General features: G+C 51.2%; 2 protein-coding genes across 8 annotated transcripts in view, besides 4 other annotated features; one reads left to right on the top strand and one right to left on the bottom strand.

The window, feature by feature from the left end:
- The window catches only part of ABR (ABR activator of RhoGEF and GTPase), a 226,204-nt gene extending 223,382 nt beyond the window's left edge, over positions 1 to 2,822 (top strand). For all 7 annotated transcript variants that reach the window (NM_001322841.2, NM_001159746.3, NM_021962.5 and 4 more), the window contains one exon: positions 172 to 2,822. In NM_001322841.2, the coding sequence (NP_001309770.1) occupies positions 172 to 261 (90 nt within the window). In that variant the 3' untranslated portion in view covers positions 262 to 2,822. The remainder of the gene's footprint in view (positions 1 to 171) is intronic.
- Positions 639 to 1,397: an enhancer, noted in NCBI's record as "H3K4me1 hESC enhancer chr17:908184-908942 (GRCh37/hg19 assembly coordinates)". NCBI's record gives its function as "activates a minimal SCP1, AML or CMV promoter by ChIP-STARR-seq in naive H9 embryonic stem cells {active_cell/tissue: H9 hESC(naive)}" and the evidence as "EXISTENCE:reporter gene assay evidence [ECO:0000049][PMID:30033119]".
- Positions 1,098 to 1,392: a silencer, noted in NCBI's record as "tiled region #8553; HepG2 Repressive non-DNase unmatched - State 18:Pol2". NCBI's record gives its function as "represses a minimal TATA promoter and a strong SV40 promoter by Sharpr-MPRA in HepG2 cells {active_cell/tissue: HepG2}" and the evidence as "EXISTENCE:reporter gene assay evidence [ECO:0000049][PMID:27701403]".
- Positions 2,670 to 9,212, bottom strand: TIMM22 (translocase of inner mitochondrial membrane 22). The gene is made up of 4 exons (NM_013337.4): positions 8,961 to 9,212; positions 7,366 to 7,562; positions 6,757 to 6,829; positions 2,670 to 5,329 (listed from the first exon to the last, which is right to left on the bottom strand). The coding sequence occupies exons 1-4, from the start codon at positions 9,196 to 9,198 to the stop codon at positions 5,253 to 5,255; spliced, it is 585 nt and encodes a 194-aa protein (NP_037469.2). The 5' UTR covers positions 9,199 to 9,212; the 3' UTR covers positions 2,670 to 5,252.
- Positions 8,499 to 9,190: an enhancer, noted in NCBI's record as "H3K27ac hESC enhancer chr17:900391-901082 (GRCh37/hg19 assembly coordinates)". NCBI's record gives its function as "activates a minimal SCP1, AML or CMV promoter by ChIP-STARR-seq in naive H9 embryonic stem cells {active_cell/tissue: H9 hESC(naive)}" and the evidence as "EXISTENCE:reporter gene assay evidence [ECO:0000049][PMID:30033119]".
- Positions 17,628 to 18,498: an enhancer, noted in NCBI's record as "H3K4me1 hESC enhancer chr17:891083-891953 (GRCh37/hg19 assembly coordinates)". NCBI's record gives its function as "activates a minimal SCP1, AML or CMV promoter by ChIP-STARR-seq in primed H9 embryonic stem cells {active_cell/tissue: H9 hESC(primed)}" and the evidence as "EXISTENCE:reporter gene assay evidence [ECO:0000049][PMID:30033119]".

Raw genomic sequence — 20,595 nt, 5'->3', positions numbered from 1 at the left:
CTGCCCCGTAGCACCTTCCACGGCTGCAGAAAGGCAAACACACCTGGGCTCCCCAGGAAGGGGCGGTGGCCGGAGCCAGTCTAGGGAGTGGGAGGGGCAACACAGGCTGGAGTCAGCAAGGACGAGGCCTAGGACAGGGAGCCCAGCCTCCGCCTTCCTGTCTCCCCACAGGTCCAGGTCCTCCTCTACTACCTGCAGCACCCCCCCATTTCCTTCGCAGAACTCAAGCGGAACACACTGTACTTCTCCACCGACGTGTAGCCCGAGGCAGGGTGGCTGCGGGCGGGTGGTGGAACCAGCCCCTCCAGCCTGGGGTCCAACTCAGACTTGAAAGACTGCAATAGAAAACTCCCAAACCCAGCACTCCAGACTCGAGGGAAGCCAGCTTCCAAGAACTGGAATGCGTACGTCTTTTGTGCCACCTTGTACAAAGCCGGCTGCCCAGCCCCAGCCTCACCACCGCATCCCACCTCCTGCCCTCCATACCTCTAGTTGTGTCTGATGCTCCGTGCTGTTCGGGAATTGTTTTATGTACACTTGTCAGGCAGAAAAGGTAGTGACCGGCCCGGCGTGGGCACACAGACAGCCCGCTTTGTTCTTTCATTTCCTCCAGCACTTTCTTTCCGCCTGAGTCCAGCCCAAGGCCTTTTATTTTGCGCTGTGTAACTGCTGCCAGCTTCTCTCTTGGCCCTGCTCCCAGATGGCGGTCTCCTGGCAGCCTCCCCTCAGTCTTCCTCCACCCGCTCTTCCTTCCCAGCCTGCCTGCATGCATGTGCACCCTTGGTCTTCGCTCCATCGCCTTGAAAGCTCTGAAGAGGCCCTGGGTTGCCGCGGCAGCAGTGGTCTGTTTGATGCTGCCGTTTGCCGCTGCCGGCCCCTCCTCAGACTCCGCCTTTGGGAGCACACCTGCTTTGCCTTGCTGCCTGTGCAAATGTTGGACAAGCAGACACACTCACACTCGTCCCCAGCTTAGCACAGAGCTGGAGCGCCCATTTCTGGAATTTTCCGTTTGGGAATCTCCACTTCTGGGGTTTACCTGTTCGGCCTCCTGTCTATCAGTGAGGCATCTCTGACTGTTTCTTCTACTGCTTTTCAGTTCCCTTCCCTGCTGTTCTATTTCCTTTGAGTGTAAAGACTCACAGGTGACCTGCTATCGAGATAGCCAGAGGGTCAGGAGAGAATGGGGGAGGAGGCGGTCAGGCTGCTGAGGAAACACCACAGGCTGAACGGGGGAGGAATGCACATGCCACGCTGGGTGTCCCGGGTCGCGGGGAGGCAGCTCAGCTCTTAGGAGCAAGTTGTGGGGGCTTTTCAAGAGGGGCCAGGCTTCCTGGAGGGTGACTGATGTGGCCGAAGCAGGTGTCCAGGCAGGTAGGCTGCAGCCAGGAGCTCCCTGGCACCGCAGGACCTCGTGGTACTCTTGCCTTAGATTTTACACACACTCCACAGCCAAGCACTGCCACGGTCCTCCAGGACCTGGGAAGCAAAGGCACAGGCCCACGGTGGCCAGCCATTGTGGTGCCGCCCCAGCTTCTGGATACAGCCTTTTGGGTAAACACTGGGAACTCCAGAAGTTGTGGGGAGAGTGGGGAATCAGACAGCCGCCTCTAGGGGCTGGGTTCTGCTGGGGCCTCCTTGTTGGTGCTGTAGGCACCCGCCAGGGAGCAGGGACCCGACTTGCAGACGCATTGCCCGGTACTAGGAAGGAGTGAGGTGTGTTCCCACCGTACACTTCCCACACGAGCTGCGGCTGCCAGCCTCGGGCCATCAGCCTAGGAGAGCAGATGCAGCTCCAGGGGCTCGACTTATAGCCAGTTACAGCTCCCCGGCTCTTCTGTGTGGCAGAGCGTCGTTTCCGGGCCCTCAGGGCTGGGGAGCTCAGTTCCCATTGCTTGTGCTCAGGGCTGAGTCTTAAAGAAGGGTTTGCCGGCCCTAACGCTGCAGCGCGTGCGCGGTGAGAGGCCCTTTTTGAGCCTGTTTACTCCTGTGGCCTTGGGCAGAACAGTAAATACTCTGTGCACGGAGGAAAGACATGCCCAAGAGGAAGGAAGTACTGACCATCGGCTGCCTGTGAGCAGCTTAGCAAGGAGCCCTTGCTCCCTGGGAAAGGCGGTGAACTTGAGTCTAAAGATGCAGTGCCTGGCCCTTCCTAAGGTCCCTGCCTGGCATCCGAGTGTCGGTGTGTGGCACAGAAGGCTCCTGCTTGCTTCCAAAGTGATGGACAGGAAGGGGCAGAGTGAGTCACGGCCCAGACTGGGCACCTTCGCGTCTCAGCCTCAGGGAGCCCCACAGCCCCAAGCTCGCTGAGGCAACGTGAGAACAGGCTATGGGAAGGCTGCAAAGGCTGAGAAATGCAAAGGCTCATATTTATAAATCCCACCCCCAGAGTGGGGAGGGTCAGGTGCCAGACCTGGACTAAACTGCACCAAGGAAACACCCAGCAGGGTCTCCTGTGAGCCGGGGACCATGCAGCCCGAAACCTCCAGTCACTGCGCCCGGCAGGAGTCAGGAGCCAGGGACTGTGCAGCCTGGAACCTCCAGTCACTGTGCCCAGCAGGGTGGGCTGTGCCCAGCAGGAGTCAGGCTAAGAAACGCCAGGTCTGCCTGTTCTTGCTGGGCAATGGCTGATGGCTGCCAGTTTCTGCTGATACACAGGTAGGATGGGACCCTTCATGAATATCTGACTTTAATAAGTTGGTAAGGATATATTTTTTTGTCTATGTTCTGTTTCAACTTATGTAGATTATTATAAATTGATGTAAACCACGTGAGAGGAAAATGTTAATAAAAAATGCAAAGCCCCATCATTTGCACAAAACTCAGCCCTGTGGTGTGGATGTTTGTGTTCGCGGTGGTCCAGGGAAGCCACCAATGTAAATATTTAACTCTTCCAGCTGCATCCAGATGTGAGTTTCCAGGAATCTGTTTACCTAGTTCACTCCCCTTGAGCCTCCCTGTGGCCCACGGGGGCTGGGGCAGAGCTGCGGGGAGGTGGGCTGGAGCCCTCTCCTTGCTCTTCACAAAGGCCTCCGGATCAGCCAGCATCCAGGCTGCTTCTGGCTCACCTTTGCCATGTGCTGCTACAGTACAAATGTCCCACCTGGCCATCGGTGTGCCTTGAAAGTGGCATGAAGTTGTCCACTGAACAGGAAGCGTCTTCTTTTATGTAAACGCTTCTCTACGCTTTCCTTCAAAGTGGCATATCTTTGAGGCAGCCTTTTGGTCTAATCTGCTTGTCAGAGAAGCTGGGTCTCCGAGGGCCCACCCTCCCTTTGAGAGAGTCAGTGGCGTGAATATTGGCTCCCACCAGCCGAAGCAACTGGACACTGAGTTTATTCTGAAGATCAGGAACAGATGTCTCTGAAAATTGCTGTTTGGTTTATGAGCTCATACTGGCTCCCCAGCCATCGAAAACAGGAAACTATTCATCTCTCGAGTGAATAGGCAGCGTGGACAATGCCTCGCTTACTGAACCGATGGGTACTGACAGCCCTGGCGCTCATCTTTTCCAAGGCTGTTGTGAGGGCAGCATCTCTTGTATTTGGTCCCACGTGCTAGACTGAAAGATGGAAGATCCCAGGCATCCTAGGACTTTGACAGGTACCAGGTGGGAATGTCTGCCCTTGCTTCAGAGTGCTTGTAGGTGTCCTATATTTAGGGACAGCAGAGGAAACAATTTGTTCTGAGCTCTAGGGAACGCTCCAACTGGCCTAGCAGTGATGAAGCCTCCTAGCTGTGAGACTGGGAGGGGCGTTATATAGAATTCACTGTAAAAGGACATGAGCCCTGAGCAGGAACTCACATTCATTCCAAGAAAATGGCAAACATGACCCAAGGAAGGTGTTACCAGCTGGGTTTGACATCATCACTCATGTACAAACACTCGGGCCTCCAGGCCATGTACACTGAGTGTGAACGCTGGTTAAGAGTGTGTGGGCCAGAAGACAGGGCAGATGAGGAAGAAGGCAAAAAAGGAAAGGATAGAGGAATTACCGTATTATAGGAAAAAGGAGACTCATCACCACTGGCTGAAGGTGCCCAGCACTGTGTGGCCCCCACCAAGCGACCTGCCTGTGCCCCACCCAAGAGCAAAGGCCTGACTCCAGCAGTGTCATCCCCCCACAGAGCACCAGGGTAAAGCAGCACCAGTGCTGAAGCCCAACTGTAGACGGATTTTTTTTTTTTTTTTTTTAATATCCATGGCACACAACTAGGCCAAGAAAAATACCACAAGGTCAAGTCGAAAACACGACATGTTAAAACACTTCCTTGACCCTGGAGAACGAGGATGGTGGTGAACAGCCCCTCAGCGACGTCTGATCTTGGCCAGTAGCTGCTGTGACCGAGTCACCAAGATGACCACAGCAGGACCCTTCACATGTGGCCTCAAGCTCGGCCAGGTCCAGCAGTCACGTCGTGAAGGCAGTGTGTGCCTCTCGGCCGGCACAGGAGGGGCCCATCGAGTTCATGGATGGGATTTCACTGCATCCCAGGAAAAGGCTGGGCTGGGCTTCTTGAGGCAGGCCCTGGCAGATGTAATGAGCTTGGTGAGGATGACACAGTCCTCTAACAACCCTGCCTCAGCGCCCCATCCCCCGCTTCCCTGGGAGCTTTCTCATTCTTTCCCTTCAGATGTTATCTTTGGGCCACCCGGCACTATTTTTGGAATAGGGAATTTGAAAATAAAATACAAATAAACCAACCTTTTGAACTGTAAGGTGTGTGGCGGTGGGGGAGGGGAGTGTATTTTTAAAAAAAAAACAAGGATGACAGAACACAAAACAAGTGAGATAATTGGTTGGACGGCATCAGTCCGCCTTGCCCTGCCCTGGTATTCGAGACGGATAGTTGCATGGAGTTCCAAGGTAGAACAGCTTCCTGAGTGCCTGCAGAGACACTGTCACCTCTGTGCCCACAACACCAAACAACCTAGAGGGCCAGCTGTGGTCAGGCCTGAAGCTTTGTGGAGCTGAATTCCTATATGTCAACATCCTGTCTCCCGATCTGCTGTGAGAGAATCTGGCACGGGACGTCCTCTGTGAAGGCTGGCTGGAGTCCAGGAGCAGCAAAGTGTGGCTACCCCAAAGGCTGGAGGCAGAGAAGCCAGGCAGCTCCCTCAGAATACCAACGACATGAGGGAAAATGAATGTCTTCAGGCCCTGAAGCAAGGCCCTGGTGTGGTACAGAAACTGTCCTCCAGAGAGCAGCCCGGATCCGGGGCTGGCATCATCCTTCCCTGCAGGCAATTACTCTCACCGGAGGTAATAATCAATCGCAGCAGAGAAAGCAGCAAAACCTCCACAACCAATGGCCCCAGCCTTTAAGCCAGCTGTCAAACAAACAGAAAGAACATGACCTGTGGTGACAGCTGCTGGGTCACGAGGCACTCACGGAAAGTTGGCACACCCTCAGTGTCATGAAATGAGCTTAAGCACTGTAAGTCATTCAAACGATCATAGCTCTGGAAGACATCAATGAAGCAGTGTATATGATCTAATCCAGTGCGCTTTATCTAACTACATTTGTTTAGCTTTTCTCCTTCAAAGGGTATTTCTAGTCTTAGGGAAATAGCCCCTCGCAGGCAGGAAACTGGTTGAGAGAAGCAGCCCTCGGAATCAAATGAAAGCATATGGCCTTGACCCTGATTTGTTTATGGAATACATTCCTGGGAAGGTGATCAAAGCAGTACTGGAGACAGCAGAGCTTCTCAAAGAGGCCCTGGTGAAGCTGAACAATGGGACGACCGGCGGAGAAGTCAGTCCGTCATCATAAATGGTGCTTGAGGAGCAAAACCAGGTTTCATGACAGCAAATCATCCTGTCTCTCAGAAGATGAGAAAACTGGCTTTTTGCTCTGGGTAAGTTAGGGCATGACAGATGGAAAGTGGCCCAGTGATAAAACACTGCTGCTTCTAGGAAAGTCAAGTCACCAAGGCCCTCCACCACGCTCTGAATGGACATGCCAACGGGGAGAAGAGGCAGCAAATTGGTTTTCTTTTTTTTTTTTTTTTTGCAGCTGATAATCTAATATTTCTAGAATATCTGTACTTAGCATTCAATGGGTAGAAATCAGAATCCCCAAGGGCAGAAAGATATTACCATTATAATTTATATCTAAAATTAAAAGACAATTGTCTAGAATTACTGAGAAAAATGTTGGCCACACGTGGTGGCTCATGCCTGTAATCCCAGCACTTTGGGAGGCTGAGGCAGGCAGATCACGAGGTCAGGAGTTCGAGACCAGGTGAAATTGATCTCTACTAAAAAAATAAAAATTAGCTGAGCATGGTGGCGGGTGCCTGTAATCCCAGCTACCTGGGAAGCTGAGGCAGGGGAATCGCTTGAACCCAGGAGGTGGAGGTTGCAGTGAGCTGACATCGTGCCACTGCACTCCAGCCTGGGCGACAGAGTGAGATTCGGTCTCTTTAAAAAAAAAAAAGTTGTTACAACGGACGGGGGTGCTACTTGCATCTCGTGGGTAGAGGCCAGGGATACTGCTCAACGTCTTAGAATGCACAAAACAGACCCAATCCCGACAAAGATTCGTCTGGTCGAAATGTCAGTAGTGCCAACGATGGGAAACCCTCATCTAGATCCTACAAGTTTCCAAAACCGAGTTACCACAGAAACAAACATGATTTATTTGTCAGAGGGAAGAAGATCAAGTGTCCCTGGAACACTCGTGTGTTTGGAAATGACAACCTCAGCACGTTGTCCAAGGCCACAAAGAAAAAGCATTCGAGAGCCGTTTACTAACCTCTGAAACCAATAGCTCCTCCCGTGATGCAGCCACTGATGACACTGTTCTTCCAGTCTGATGTTCCCCGGTACTGTGGGCAGGGAAGTACACGTTAGAGCCAAAGAAACAAGCCAAGGCAGACCATTAAGGAGGAATACACAGGGTTGCTCGTTAGCTCATTCAGTCCCTACCCAAAGGAAACCTAATCTTTCTTGAAAATATAGTTCCTAAGTATACAGCGTGTATATATATATATATATATATATATATATATATATAGTATGCGTTCATAGATGCTTCCTGCAGGTGGCACCAGAGTGCTGAAACCAAGCCCAGCATTTGGAATGTAATCAAAATTTCTTCAAGGGGCTCTCCAATAAGTCTCGTTTAAAATCATTAGCTAACTTCTAGCCTACAAAAAGTAAAAAATAATGCAAGCCCATACTGTAAACACACACAAAGTCTGCCACAGGGACTATTTTATGGAAGTTCAACCTAGAATGTATCTGATGCTTCTGATTTGCTTTCTAGTAACAACTTTCAAATGACTTTTAAAGAGCAATTTCTCTTTAAAAGTAATGAAATGGTGGCCCCAGCAAGGATTTCTTAGAAGGCAGAGACACTTACAGATTCTATCAAACACTCAGTACAAGAAAACATGGCTCCCACAATGGCGAAATTTTTGGCATAGGACATTCCTCTCTGCCCCATGTCTTTCAGCACTTCTTTTGCAGTCGGTGTACGGTAAGGATCCTTAGGGTCAAAGCCCACGTTGGTATCGATGCCAGCGGTAAACACCCCAAATGCACCTCCTAAGACAAATCCTAGAAGCAAACACAGAGATGAAGGTGTCTTTGGCATGTTTTCTGCATTACTCTATTGGGATCATCCTGGAAGGGACCATGCTTTTGGATGACCACCGGTGCAGAGGACACCCCCCTCTTGCCACTCAAACTCTCCACTTGCCTGGAGACTTGCAATCCAGGGTCTATGTTACTGACATCATCTTCTCCGTCTCTAAGATTTCTTCCTCCTGTCATTCCCTAACATTTCTCAAGATTCCATCTTTAACCCTCTATTCTCTCTACATTCTCTCATATGTAAACCAGCCACCCTCAACTTCAGCTATCAACTTTGCAAATCACTCTCTTGGCCACTGTGACATTCACAGTAATGCTTTACTGAGCACATGCCAGTATGCCACAGCCTCATTCATTCTTCACAATAATCCAGTGAGACAGATGCTATTAGCCTCTCCTTTCTATAAACTGAGGCTCAGAGAGGTTAAGCAACTTCTCCCAAGGCCACACAGCTACCTAATGGCAAATCCCACACTGCTGCCACATCTGTCCTTCCTGAGCCGGCTGGACATGTCCAGATGGATGCCCTCTCATGACCTCATGGTCAATATGAGTTTAATAAAATCATGGGCACCTCCCCTTCAACTTAAGGGAAAAACAGAAGGACAAGTGCAGACTTCGTCTCTCCTTGCTCGGGGCTGTCTAGTCACAATGGTCTTTCAGTTTTTCAAACCTCAAACAACTGCTGCCCTAGAGTCGTCTGCATGTGCATTTCCATATGTCTGCATCCTTCCTCTGCAGTGTTCCTGCTCAACATTCTTCTCCACATAGTATAATACAGGCCCCATGAAGACCAGGCTCTTGTCTCTTTCACCTGGCACGTGATATTGCTTAGGAACAATTTGTTGAAAGAATTATTTAAGAGAATGAATTTAAGGGAATGAACGGATGAATGAAGTCACCCACGTAATAACTTTTTGTTGTTGTTTTTGAGACGGAGTCTCGCTCTGTCGCCCAGGCTGGAGAGCAGTGGCACATCTCGGCTCACTGCAAGCTCCGCCTCCTGGGTTCAAGCGATTCTCCTGCCTCAACCTCCCGAATAGCTGGGACTACAGGCGCCCACCACCACGTCCAGCTAATTTTTTGTATTTTTAGTAGAGACGGGGTTTCACCGTGTTAGCCAGGATGTCATGTAATAACTTTCAGGCCCCAACCACAGCACCGATTCTCTAACCCAATTTTCATCAGGAAAGCCGGCCTGAGGGGGCAGGAGAGGTGACGCCCGATTCACGAACGAGGCGAGGGTGTGGTCAAGGTCAAGGCCCGCAGTCCCTCGCCTCCCAGGCGCGTGGTCTTCTCGGCAGAGATCCCCACTGCCGTCCAGGCCCTCAGCCTCCCAAGGGTCCCATCGCCCGGCCTCACCTCCCACGCAGGCCAGCGCAGCCTTGAAAGCGCAGCTTTCCATCGCCTTCTCGATCATCTTCTGCTCCTCACTCTTGGCTGGACTTGGGATCCCGCCCAGGCTCCCAGGCTCCAGGAGCCGGGGCTGACGCTTGTCACCCACCAGGTACTGCAGGAGCAGGCTGTACTGCAGCGGAGCTTCGGCGGAACCCGCTGTCTCAGGGGCCGAGCCTCCGGCATTGGGGGCGGCCGCCGCCATGACAGTCGCTGCCCAAGCAACCCTCGCGTCCTTCTCCCCGCAGCAGATTCGACAAGCGTCACGTTGCGGGCCCTGAGACTAGCCACTGTGATGCAACGGCAGATTCGCCGCAGGAGGAAGCCGCGGCCGCAACGCTCCTGGTGCGCACACCAGCGAGACCGCTATCATGTTTCCAAAAAGAAAGCCTCTTGTGAAAATGGAATTGGGCTTGGACAGCTTTCCCCATGTCACAGACAAACGAGATTCAGATTCACCAGAAAGCGCCCTCACGGTCGGGGCTGCAGCGCGGTGAGTACCGGGATTTGTAGTTCTAATCCGACACCCAACTACATTTCCCAGGAAGCGTTGCGCGTGCTCTCGCGCCTCGGCCCCGCGCGGGGCTCTTACGAGCTCCTGAGGGGAGCGAGGAGTGGCCGCGCGCTCCGGGGCTGCCGTGCTCCGGATCGCCGGGAGGGGACGCGCGAGCATTGTCGCTGCCCTTTCCACCTCGTGCTGTCATCGGGCGGTGAGGCGTTAAATCCCGTGGTCCCGGAAGGTGCGGTGAGAGGTGGATGCTTTGTAGATAAGCGTGAACTTGTGCTGTAAATGCACGGACCGGGCGCGGGGGCTCACGCCTGTCATCCAGCACTGTGGGAGGCCGAGGCCGGTGGATCACGAGGTCAGGAGTTCGAGACCAGTCTGACAAACATGGTGAAACCCCATCTCTACTAAAAATTAAAAAAATAAAAAATAAAAAAATTAGCTGGGCATGGTGGTGCACGCCTGTATTCTCAGCTACTTAGGAGGCTGAAGCAGGAAACCCCGTCTCTACTAAAAATATAAAAATTAGCCAGGTGGCGGCAGGCGCCTGTAATCTCAGTTACTCGGGAGGCTGAGACAGGAGAATCTCTTAAACCCGGGAGGTGGAGGTTGCAGTGAGCCAAGATCGCACCATCGCACTCCAGCCTGGGCGACAAGAGCAAGACTCCGTCTCAAAAAAAAAAAAAAAAAAAAAAAAATCCTAACTGACAGCATTTGCTGACTTGTGTGGTGTTAATATCCCCATCATGGCTGATTTCAAACTACCAAGCGAGGTCATCAGTCAGAATTGGGAAGACGTACAGCAGCATGTGGTTACATGGTGTTTCTATCACACAGATACAATCTATGGAAATAACCTCAACAGCATAGATAGGAGTACAGTGTAGTAAAATTTTTAGGAGGGGATGAGTTTTGAGCACATATTACCTATTTTTAGTGTAATTTATTATAAATGTATAGAATGTAATTTTTAATAATAACTGTGCTTAACAACCAGCTCAAAAACTCCTGATAATTTGTTGCCTTACTTTTTAAAATTACTCTTTTGAGACAGAGTCTTGCTCTGTCACCCAGGTTGGAGTGCAGTGGTGCAATCTCCGCTCACTGCAACCTGCACCTCCCGGGTTTGAGCGATTCTCCTGCCTCAGCCTCCCGACTAGCTGGGATTACAGGCACATGCCACCATGCCCGGCTAATTTTTGTATTTTTAGTAGAGACAAGGTTTCACCATGTTGGCCAGGCTGGTCTCAAACTCCTGACCTCAGGTGACCCACCCACCTCGGCCTCCCAAAGTGCTTGGATTCCAGGCGTGAGTCACTGCGCCCGGCCAGTTAGGGCCTTTTTGTTATTGTTGTTAAACATTTACCATTATACCACTGCACTGCAAGCATATTTTGGGAACCAAGAACACTTCCTCCTCTTTGAGGAAACCAGAATTGGGGCCTGGAGGCAGAGAAATTGGGAATGGATTTCTGGTCATATCCAGGAAAATCCTAGGGGATGTTGGAGAGAGGTTTTCAGTCCCAAGAATGCTAACACTTTGGCATCATTTTGTACTCCTCGTATGAACAAAACGTGGCCTGGGAACACCTCTGGGCATTTAAGCACACTTTTTGCTAATGGCCTGAAGGCAGTGCCGTAGCAAGCATCTGCCTACTTGGGCCAGGGACTCTCAGAAGATGTTGATCGGAAAAGATTCCTCTGCTGGGCATGGTGGCTCACACCTGTAATCCCAGCACTTTGGGAGGCTGAGGCAGGAAAATTGCTTGAGTCTGGGAAGTTGAGACTGCAGTGAGTCATGATCGTGCCACTGCACTCCAGCATGGACGAGGGAACGAGACCCTGTCTCAAAAAAAAGAAAAAAAAAAGATTAAGTAAACAGTGGTCATTTTATTCAGAGGGCTGAAAAACAATTTCCATCAAGGGCTGCGAAAGGGCTGGGGTGTTCCATAGCCCAGGAGCCTCACAGGTATGTCTGAGTTGTAAGAGGAAGTGAAGTGTCCTTCTTTTAAGGGTCTTGGCTGGGCGCGGTGGCTCACACCTGTAATCTCAGCACTTTGGGAGGCTGAAGCAAGGTCAAGAGATCGAGACCATCCTGGCCAACATGATGAAACCCTGTCTCTGCTAAAAATACAAAAATTAGCTAGGCATAGTGGCTGCACCCCTGTAGTCCCAGCTACTCAGGAGGCTGAGGCAGCAGAATCGCTTGAACCCACGAGGCGGAGCTTGCAGTGAGCCGAGATGGTGCCACTGTACTCCGGCCTGGAGACAGACGGAGACTCCGTGTCAAAAAAAAGAAAAAAAAGGTGGGGGTTGGGTCTTTGGGGTCCCAGAGAAGAAATGGGTGGGACCTAAGGAGCCATACTGGAAACCATACTTTTGGGACATGTTGCCCGAGATGAGGATGGAATACCCCACCCGGCAGAAATGGAGACCAGACAGCTGCACAGTCTTATGTGAGGGTGGATTATGTGAGGTGGATTATGTGAGGGTGGATTATGTGAGGGGTGGATTATGTGAGGGTGGATTATGTGAGGTGGATTATGTGAGGTGGATTATGTGAATGTGGGTGGATTATGTGAGGGTGGATTATGTGAGGGTGGATTATGTGAGGGTGGATTATGTGAGGGTGGATTATGTGAGGTGGATTATGTGAGGGTGAATTATGTGAGGGTGGATTATGTGAGGTGGATTATGTGAGGGTGGATTATGTGAGGTGGATTATGTGAGGGTGGATTATGTGAGGTGGATTATGTGAGGTGGATTATGTGAGTGTGGATTATGTGAGGGTGGGTGGATTATGCGAGGTGGATTATGTGAGGTGGATTACGTGAGGGTGGATTATGTGAGGGTGGATTATGTGAGGGCGGATTATGTGAGGTGGATTATGTGAGGGTGGGTTATGTGAGGGGTGGATTATGTGAGGTGGATTATGTGAGGTGGATTATGTGAGGGGTGGATTATGTGAGGTGGATTATGTGAGGGTGGATTATGTGAGGTGGATTATGTGAGGGTGGATTATGTGAGGTGGATTATGTGAGGTGGATTATGTGAGGTGGATTATGTGAGTGTGGATTATGTGAGGGTGGATTATGTGAGGGTGGATTATGCGAGGTGGATTATGTGAGGGTGGGTGGATTATGCGAGGTGGATTATGCGAGGTGGATTATGTGAGGTGGATTATGTGAGTGTGGATTATGCGAGGGTGGATTATTTGAGGGTGGATTATGTGAGGCGGATTATGTGAGAGTGGATTATGTGAGGGTGGATTATGTGAGGGTGGATTATGTGAGGTGGATTATGTGAGGGTGGATTATGTGAGGGTGGATTATGTGAGGGTGGATTATGTGAGGTGGATTATGTGAGGGTGGATTATGTGAGGGTGGATTATGTGAGGTGGATTATGTGAGTGTGGGTGGATTATGTGAGGTGGATTATGTGAGGGGTGGATTATGTGAGGGTGGATTATGTGAGGTGGATTATGTGAGGTGGATTATGTGAGGGTGGATTATGTGAGGGTGGATTATGTGAGGTGGATTATGTGAGGGTGGAGTGGCTCTTAGCTTTTCTCTCTGAATCACTTTCCCCACAAGAGGACATTTATCGTCTGGCCTGGTCTGACAGATGGAATAAGGCTTGACGTCGCTGGCTGCAGCAGATGGAAACAAGGCAGGGGGCGTGGGGCCTCCAGCCGTGAGTCGTGGGTTCCCACGGGCAGCCGGTGATAAAGAGCACTCCAGGCTCCGGATGGGGTCCTCCAGGCCCAGCCCTGAGCACCGTCGGTCCCTCCCTTCTGTCTCCACAGTGAAGGGCACGTAATAGCATCATCTGTTCATCTTCATAGAGTATTGGCCTGGTGAGGGGCTGGGCTTACTGGAGGTCCGTGAGGCTGTCCTAAACCATCACTGAGAACCAGGTGGTTAAGCTGCTGAGCGCAGAGTTAGTTTCTGACTCAGAAAGGTCTGAGGTGGGTGTGAAATTTTGGATTTCCCAGGTGATGCTACTGCTGGTTGGGGACCACATTTTTTTTTTCTTTTTTCTGAGATGGAGTCTCGCTCTGTCGCCCAGGCTGGTGTGCAATGGTGCGATCTCAGCTCACTGCAACCTCCATTACCCAGCTTTAAGTGATTCTCCTGCCTCAGCCTCCTGACCCCAGCTACAGGCGTGAGCCACCACGCCCAGCTAATTTTTTTGTATTTTTAGTAGAGACGGAGTTTCACCATGTTGGCCAGGCTGCTCTTGAACTCCTGACCTCAAGTGATCTGCCCGCCTTGGCCTCCCAAAGTGCTGGGATTACAGATGTGAGCTGCCACACTCAGACCCTTGTGAACTTTTGCTAGTAATTCTTTTTTCTTCTCACAACACTCCACTCATGCCCCTCAGCTCTGTCTTTAAATATTCCTGCCCTTCAAAACTTACCTTTTCTGATTAATCTAATTGGAAGTAATGTCTTCTCTGAGCCTCTTTTTTTCTTTTTGAGACAGGGTCTTTCTTTGTGGCCCAAACTGGAGTGCAGTGGCCCCATCATGGCTCACTGCAGCCTCGATCTCCTGGGCTCAAGGGATCCTCCTACCTCGACCCTGCCAAGTAGCTGGGACCATGGGCATGTACCACCATGCCGGGGTAATGGGCTAATGTTTTTTTTTTTTGAGATGGAGTCTTGCTCTGTTGCCCAGGCTGGAGTGCAGTGGTGTGATCTCGGCTCAGTGCAAGCTCCGCCTCCTGGGTTCACGCCATTCTCCTGCCTCAGCCTCCCGAGTAGCTGGGACTACAGGCGCCCGCCACCACGCCCAGCTAATTTTTTGTGTTTTTAGTAGAGACGGGGTTTCACCGTGTTAGCCAGGATGGTCTCGATCTCCTGACCTCGTGATCCGCCCACCTCAGCCTCCCAAAGTGCTGGGATTACAGGTGTGAGCCACCGTGCCCCGGGCTAACTTTTAAAAACCTTTTTTATAGAAACTGGTTCTTACTCTGTTGCCCAGACTGGTCTCAAACTCCTGGGCTCAAGCAATCCTCCCACCTCAGCCTCCTAAAGTGCTGGGGTTACAGGTGTGAGCCACCGTGCCCCGGGCTAACTTTTAAAAACCTTTTTTACAGAAACTGGTTCTTACTCTGTTGCCCAGACTGGTCTCAAACTCCTGGGCTCAAGCAATCCTCCCACCTCAGCCTCCCAGAGTGCTGGGGTTACAGGTGTGAGCCACCGCACCGGCCTCTTAATTAATAGGCTCTTAACTGGTTTTGGAGCCTCCTACCTTGCTCTTCTCCAAACTATTCACAGAATGATCTTCCCACACAGGACTGTGAACGTGCTCCCTGCTCTGGATTCTACTTCATGCCAGGATAAAATCTGAACTCAACGTGTTGCTTTTACAACTAGTGCCCAGGAAGACACAGGTGCTTCCGTCCAGGTTTAGTTCTTTTTTTTTGAGACAGAGTCTTGCTTCTTCACCCAGGCTGGAGTGCAATGGTGAGATCTCGGCTCACTGCAACCTCTGCCTCCCGGGTTCAGCAGTTCTCCTGCCTCAGCCTCCCAAGTAGCTGGGATTACAGTCATGTGCCAGCACGCCCGGCTAATTTTTTGTATTTTTAGTAGAGATGGGGTTTCACCAGGCTGACAAGAATGGTTTTGAACTCCTGACCTCAAGTGATCTGCCCGCCTTGGCCTCCCAAAATGCTGGGATTACAGGTGTGAGCCACTGTGCCTGGCCTAGGGGTACAAGTTATAATCCTCAGATTTGATCTGAAAAGTATTGGGATTACAGGCATGAGCCACCGTGCCCAGCCTAGGGGTATGAATTATAATCCTCAGATCTGATCTGAAAAGTATTGGAAGCAGATAGAAAAATGCACAGTGTTTTCTCCAGCACTTTACACTTCTACAAGAAAGTCAGAAAAGAGTTAGGAAAGTTGTTTAGGAACTAGAGACTAATGGCCGGGCATGGTGGCTCATGCCTGTAATCCCAGCACTTTGGGAGGTCAAGGCAGGAGGATCACTTGAGCCCAGGAGTTCAAGACCAGCCTCGGCCACATAGTGAGACTGTGTCTCTACAAAAAAATACAAAAATTAGGCTGGGTTTGGTGGCTAACACCTGTAATCCCAGCACTTTGGGAGGCCGAGGCAGGCAGATCACGAGTTCAGGAGATCGAGACCATCCTGGCTAACATGGTGAAACCCTGTCTCTATTAAAAATACAAAAAATTATCCAGGCATGGTGGCGGGTGCCTGTGGTCCCAGCTACTCAGGAGGCTGAGGCAAGAGAATGGCGTGAACCCAGGAGGTGGAGCTTGCAGGAGCTTGCAGATCACGCCATTGCACTCCAGCCAGGGCAACAGAGCAAGACTCCGTCTCTAAAAAAACAAAAAATACAAAAATTAGCTCGGCATGGTGACATGTGCCTGTAGTCCCAGCTACTTGGGAGGCTGAGGTGGGAGGATTGCTTGAGCCCAGGAGGTCAAGGCTTCAGTGAGCCATCATCGTACCACTGCACTCCAGCCTGGGCGACAGAGTGAGAACCATCTCAAAAAAGAAAAACAAAAAAGCAACCCAGAGACCAGACTTGTCCTGCTTTGCTAAGGGATAAAAGGAATAATAGAAAGAATAATAAATCACGGTGGCTCCCCAAAGTTATATATCAAGTTGGTGCCAGAAAGATCTGCACCACACTTCTGCCATAGCCAGTGAGAACAACGATCTTCTCCCCCTTTCTTCGTCTTGATCCTTGTCAGATCTCGCCTCCATATTCTGCTGTATGCACTTCTCTATCAGGTAATTTCATTTATTAGTGGATCTGCCACAAAATACCGACTTTTTAAAAAGGAAAATATAAAACAGACATTAAAGCTTATAATACAGGCCGGGTGCGGTGGCTCACACCTGTAATCCCAGCACTTTGGGAGGCTGAGGCGGGCGGATCACCTGAGGTCAGGAGTTCAAGACCAGCCTGACCAACATAGTGAAACCCTGTCTTTACCAAAAATGCAAAAATTAGCTGGTGGTGGCGGGCGTCTGTAGTCCCAGCTACTCTGGAGGCTGAGGCAGGAGAATGGCGTGAAACCGGGAGGCGGAGCTTGCAGTGAGCCGAGATTGTGCCATTGCACTCCAGCCTGGGCGACAGAGCGAGACTCTGTCTCAAAAAAAAAAAAAAAAAAAAAAGAATTACAAATGGGGCCGGGTGCAGTGGCTCATGCCTATAATCCCTGCAGTTCAGAAGGCCAAGCCGGAGGATCCCTTGAAGTCAAGAGTTCAAGACCAGCCTGGGCAGCATAGTGAGACCTCTATCTCTAAAAAAAAAAAAAGAAAGAAAGAAAGAAAATAAATTAGCCGGGCATGGTGGAGTGCACCTGTAATTCCAGCTATGCGGGAGGCTGAGGTGGGAGGATCACTTGAGCCCAGGAGTTGGAGGCTGCAGTGAGCCATGATCACAGCACTATACCCAGCCTGGGTGACAGAGCAAGACCCCATTTCTTTTTTTTTTCCTTTTTTTTTTTTTTTTGAGATGGAGTCTCACTGTGTCACCAGGCTGGAGTGCAGTGGTGTGATCTCGGCTCACTGCAACATCCGCCTCCCGGGTTCAAGCGATTCTCCTGCCTCAGCCTCCTGAGTAGCTGGGATTACAGGCATCCACCACCACACCCAGCTAGTTTTTGTATTTTCAGTAGAGACGGGGTTTCACCATGTTGGCCAGGATGGTCTCAATCTCTTGACCTCGTGATCCACCCACCTCGGCCTCCCAAAGTGCTGGGATTATAGGCGTGAGCCACTGCACCTGGCCAAGACCCTGTTTCTTTAAAAAAAAAAAAAAAGACAAGTTGTAGGTTAGTATTTCCTACCTCTTCTGCACCCTCCTTTCTCTTGTGCTACGTCTTAAAGATACCCCATGTCAGAGTGTGTGATGGGCAATTGTGTGTGCCAACTTGACTGGGCCGTTTAGTGTCCAGATATTTAACGGCAACTCAATCCTCATTTGGGCGTGTTAGCCTGACCTAGTTATAGAGCAACCTGAAAATCTGCTAGCTTTGAGAGGGACCAGAGCGAGAGAACGCACTGTAGCAGGTTCCGACTGTGATGCAAGCTGCTCTCCACGTGGGCCACGTGATCCAGCTGATCCAGTGATGCTTGAAGAGACCGTGGCAGACAAGGATGCTGTTTGCAGCCTTTGGCAGGCCCCGTAGGTGAATCGCAGAGCAAGCCTGTAGGATTTTGGAGCAAAGCTCTGCCATCCTGTGGACAGTACTCTCCTTTTGAGACACAGCTTTTGGACTGCTACTGGGCCTTCTTGGAGACTGATGCTTAGCCATGGGCCACGGAGTTACCATGTGGCCTGAGCTGCCCGTCGTGAACTGGAGGTTCTCTGACCCATCAAGCCATACAGTTGGGTGTGCACAGCAGCACCGTGCTTCACCATCTAATGGAAATAGTATACACGTGACTGGGCCCAAGCAGGCCCTGAAGGCACCAGGAAGTTAGATGGAGAAGCAGCTTCAAAGGCCCTTGGTTCCCACTGCCACGACTCCACCCTGCCTTCCCTTTCCCAGCCTGCACCTCTAGCATCATGGGGAGTCCTCCATGATCAGCTGACAGAGAAAGCGAAGACTCACATCCCAGTTTGCAGATGGTTCTGTACGACGTGCAGTCTCCGCCCGAAACTGAGCAGCTGTTGCCCTCCAGCCTCTTCCTTGGACATTCCCGAAGGACAGCGGTGGGGGCAGATCCTCCCGGTGGGCAGACGTTGGCGCAGTGCACCTGGTTGTTGGTTGTGCTTGGAAGGAGAAATGGCTGGACGTGAGAGCACACACCGATTCACCGACCGTAGCCAATGATTTGCCTGGAGAGTCAGGGACTTGGAAGGAACATGATTGGAAAATTAGTGACAAGGAAACCGAGGGAACTGAGAGAAGAGGTATGTGGGCAAAAACCGGACGATACGTGTGTCCCATGTAAATGCTCGCCAAAGGGTGGCCTCACCAGGGAAGAGTTCGAATCTTCAAGCGATAGGATGGCCCGTTCTCTGGGTGCTGCTCAGCCTCTCTCCCCCGACACCACAGTTAGTGCCCAGTGGGCTCATGAACAAAGTGGCCATGGGGGGCAGGGATAAAGGTTATTCATGGGCTCACAGCACAGACTGTTACTCACTATGGCCATCCTGGCTGCAGCCATGGCTGAAAGCCCCATCTGCCAGCAACAGAGACCAACCCTGAGCCCCTGAAATGATGCCATTCCCTGGGGTGATCAGCCAGCGACCCAGTGACCCCATTCCCTGCGGTGATCAGCCAGCAACCCGGTGACCCCATTCCCTGGGGTGATCAGTCGGTGACCCCATTCCCTGGGGTGATCAGCCAGCGACCCAGTGACCCCATTCCCCGGGGTGATCAGCCGGTGACCCCAATCCCTGGGGTGATCAGCCAGTGACCCCATTCTCTGGGGTGATCAGCCAGCGACCTGGTGACCCCATTCCCTGGGGTGATCAGTTGGTGACCCCATTCCCTGGGGTGATCAGCCAGCGACCCGGTGACCCCATTCCCTGGGGTGATCAGCCGGTGACCCCAATCCCTGGGGTGATCAGCCAGTGACCCCATTCTCTGGGGTGATCAGCCAGCGACCCGGTGATCCCATTCCCTGGGGTGATCAGTTGGTGACCCCATTCCCTGGGGTGATCAGCCAGTGACCCGGTGACAGGTTGGTGACACTGGATCACTTCCATCACGGAAGGGGCAGCATTTTGTCCTCACTGGAATAGACACTTACTCTAGATCGGGATTTGCCTTCCCTGTACGTCACGCTCCTGCCAAAACTAGCATCCGTGGACTCACAGAATGCCGTACCTACTGTCACGGTATGCCACACCGCACTGCTTCTGTCTGAGGAACTCCCTTCACAGCAAAGAAAGTATGGTAACGAGCCCATGCTCATGGAATTCCCCGGTACGACCATGTTGCCCACCATCTTGAAGCAGCTGGTTTGATAAGATGGTGGAATGGCCTTTTGAAGACTCCACTACAGCACCAGCTGGGTGGCGATGCCTTGCAGGGCTGGGCCAGAGTTCTGCAGGAGGCAGTATATGCTCTGAATCAGAACTGAGTGTAGGGTGCTGTTTCTCCCACAGCCAGGATTCATGGGTCCGGGAATCAAGGGGTGGCAATGAGAGGGGCACCAGTCCCTAGCACTCCTAGTGACCCAGCAGCAAGATGTTTGTTTCCTGTTCACGTGACCTTATGCTCTGCTGGCCTAGGGGTCGTATTTCCAAATGGAGGAATGTTTCCCCCAGAAGACCCAACAGTGGTGCCATTGAACTCCAAGTGAGGACTTCTGCTGGGCCTGTTTGGCCTCCCACTGCCTCTGAATCAACAGGCAGATAAGAGAGTTACTGTGCTGGCTGGGGTGATTGATCCTAGATTGGACCACAAGTCCACAATTGAGGTGAGCAAGAGTATGTCTGGAATAGAGGCCCCTCAGGGTGTCCTAGTAGACCATGGCCTATGATTTAGGGCAATGGAAAAACCACAAGAATTCAATCCAGGCAGGACTACCAAGGGCCCAGACCTTTCAGGAATGAAAGTTTGGGTCACCCACCAGGAAAAGACCCACAACCAGCTGAGGTGCTTACTGAAAGCAAAGGGAATACATAATGGATAGTGAAAGGTCATTATAAATACCAGCCACAACCCATGGCCAGTTACAGAAACACGGGCTGGAATGATCATGGATATTTCCTACTTGTTTTGTTAGGAATACGTTTCTCTGTGTTTATATACTGGCAAACCTCAAGATATTGCAGCTCTGGTTCCAGATTACAACAATAAAACTAATATCACAGGCCAGGCGCAGTGGCTCACACCTGTAATCCCAGCACTTTGGGAGGCTGAGGTGAATGGATCACCTGAGGTCAGGAGTTTGAGACCAGCCTGGCCAACATGGTGAAACACTGTCTCTACTAAAAATACAAACAAAATAGCTGGGCGTGGTGATACGCACCTATAATCCCAGCTACTCATGAGGCTGAGGCAGGAGAATGGCTTGAACCAGGAAGGCAGAGGTTGCAGTGAGCCAAAATCACGCTATTGCACTCCAGCCTGGACAACGAATGAAGCTTCATCTCA

The sequence above is a fragment of the Homo sapiens genome, chromosome 17 (genome assembly GCF_000001405.40).
Source record: "Homo sapiens chromosome 17, GRCh38.p14 Primary Assembly".
In the NCBI taxonomy this organism is placed as follows: domain Eukaryota; kingdom Metazoa; phylum Chordata; class Mammalia; order Primates; family Hominidae; genus Homo; species Homo sapiens.
This window is presented reverse-complemented; position numbering and strand designations above follow the sequence as displayed.

Excerpts from the sequence above, each read along its gene's own strand:
- TIMM22 (NM_013337.4), bottom strand. The coding sequence starts at position 9,198 with ATGGCGGCGGCCGCCCCCAATGCCGGAGGCTCGGCCCCTGAGACAGCG. Across the intron at positions 7,563-8,960 it reads TGCGCTGGCCTGCGTGGGAG|GATTTGTCTTAGGAGGTGCA; the intron begins GTGAGGCCGGGC and ends GTTTGCTTCTAG. Across the intron at positions 5,330-6,756 it reads AGGAGCTATTGGTTTCAGAG|CTGGCTTAAAGGCTGGGGCC; the intron begins GTTAGTAAACGG and ends TTTGTTTGACAG.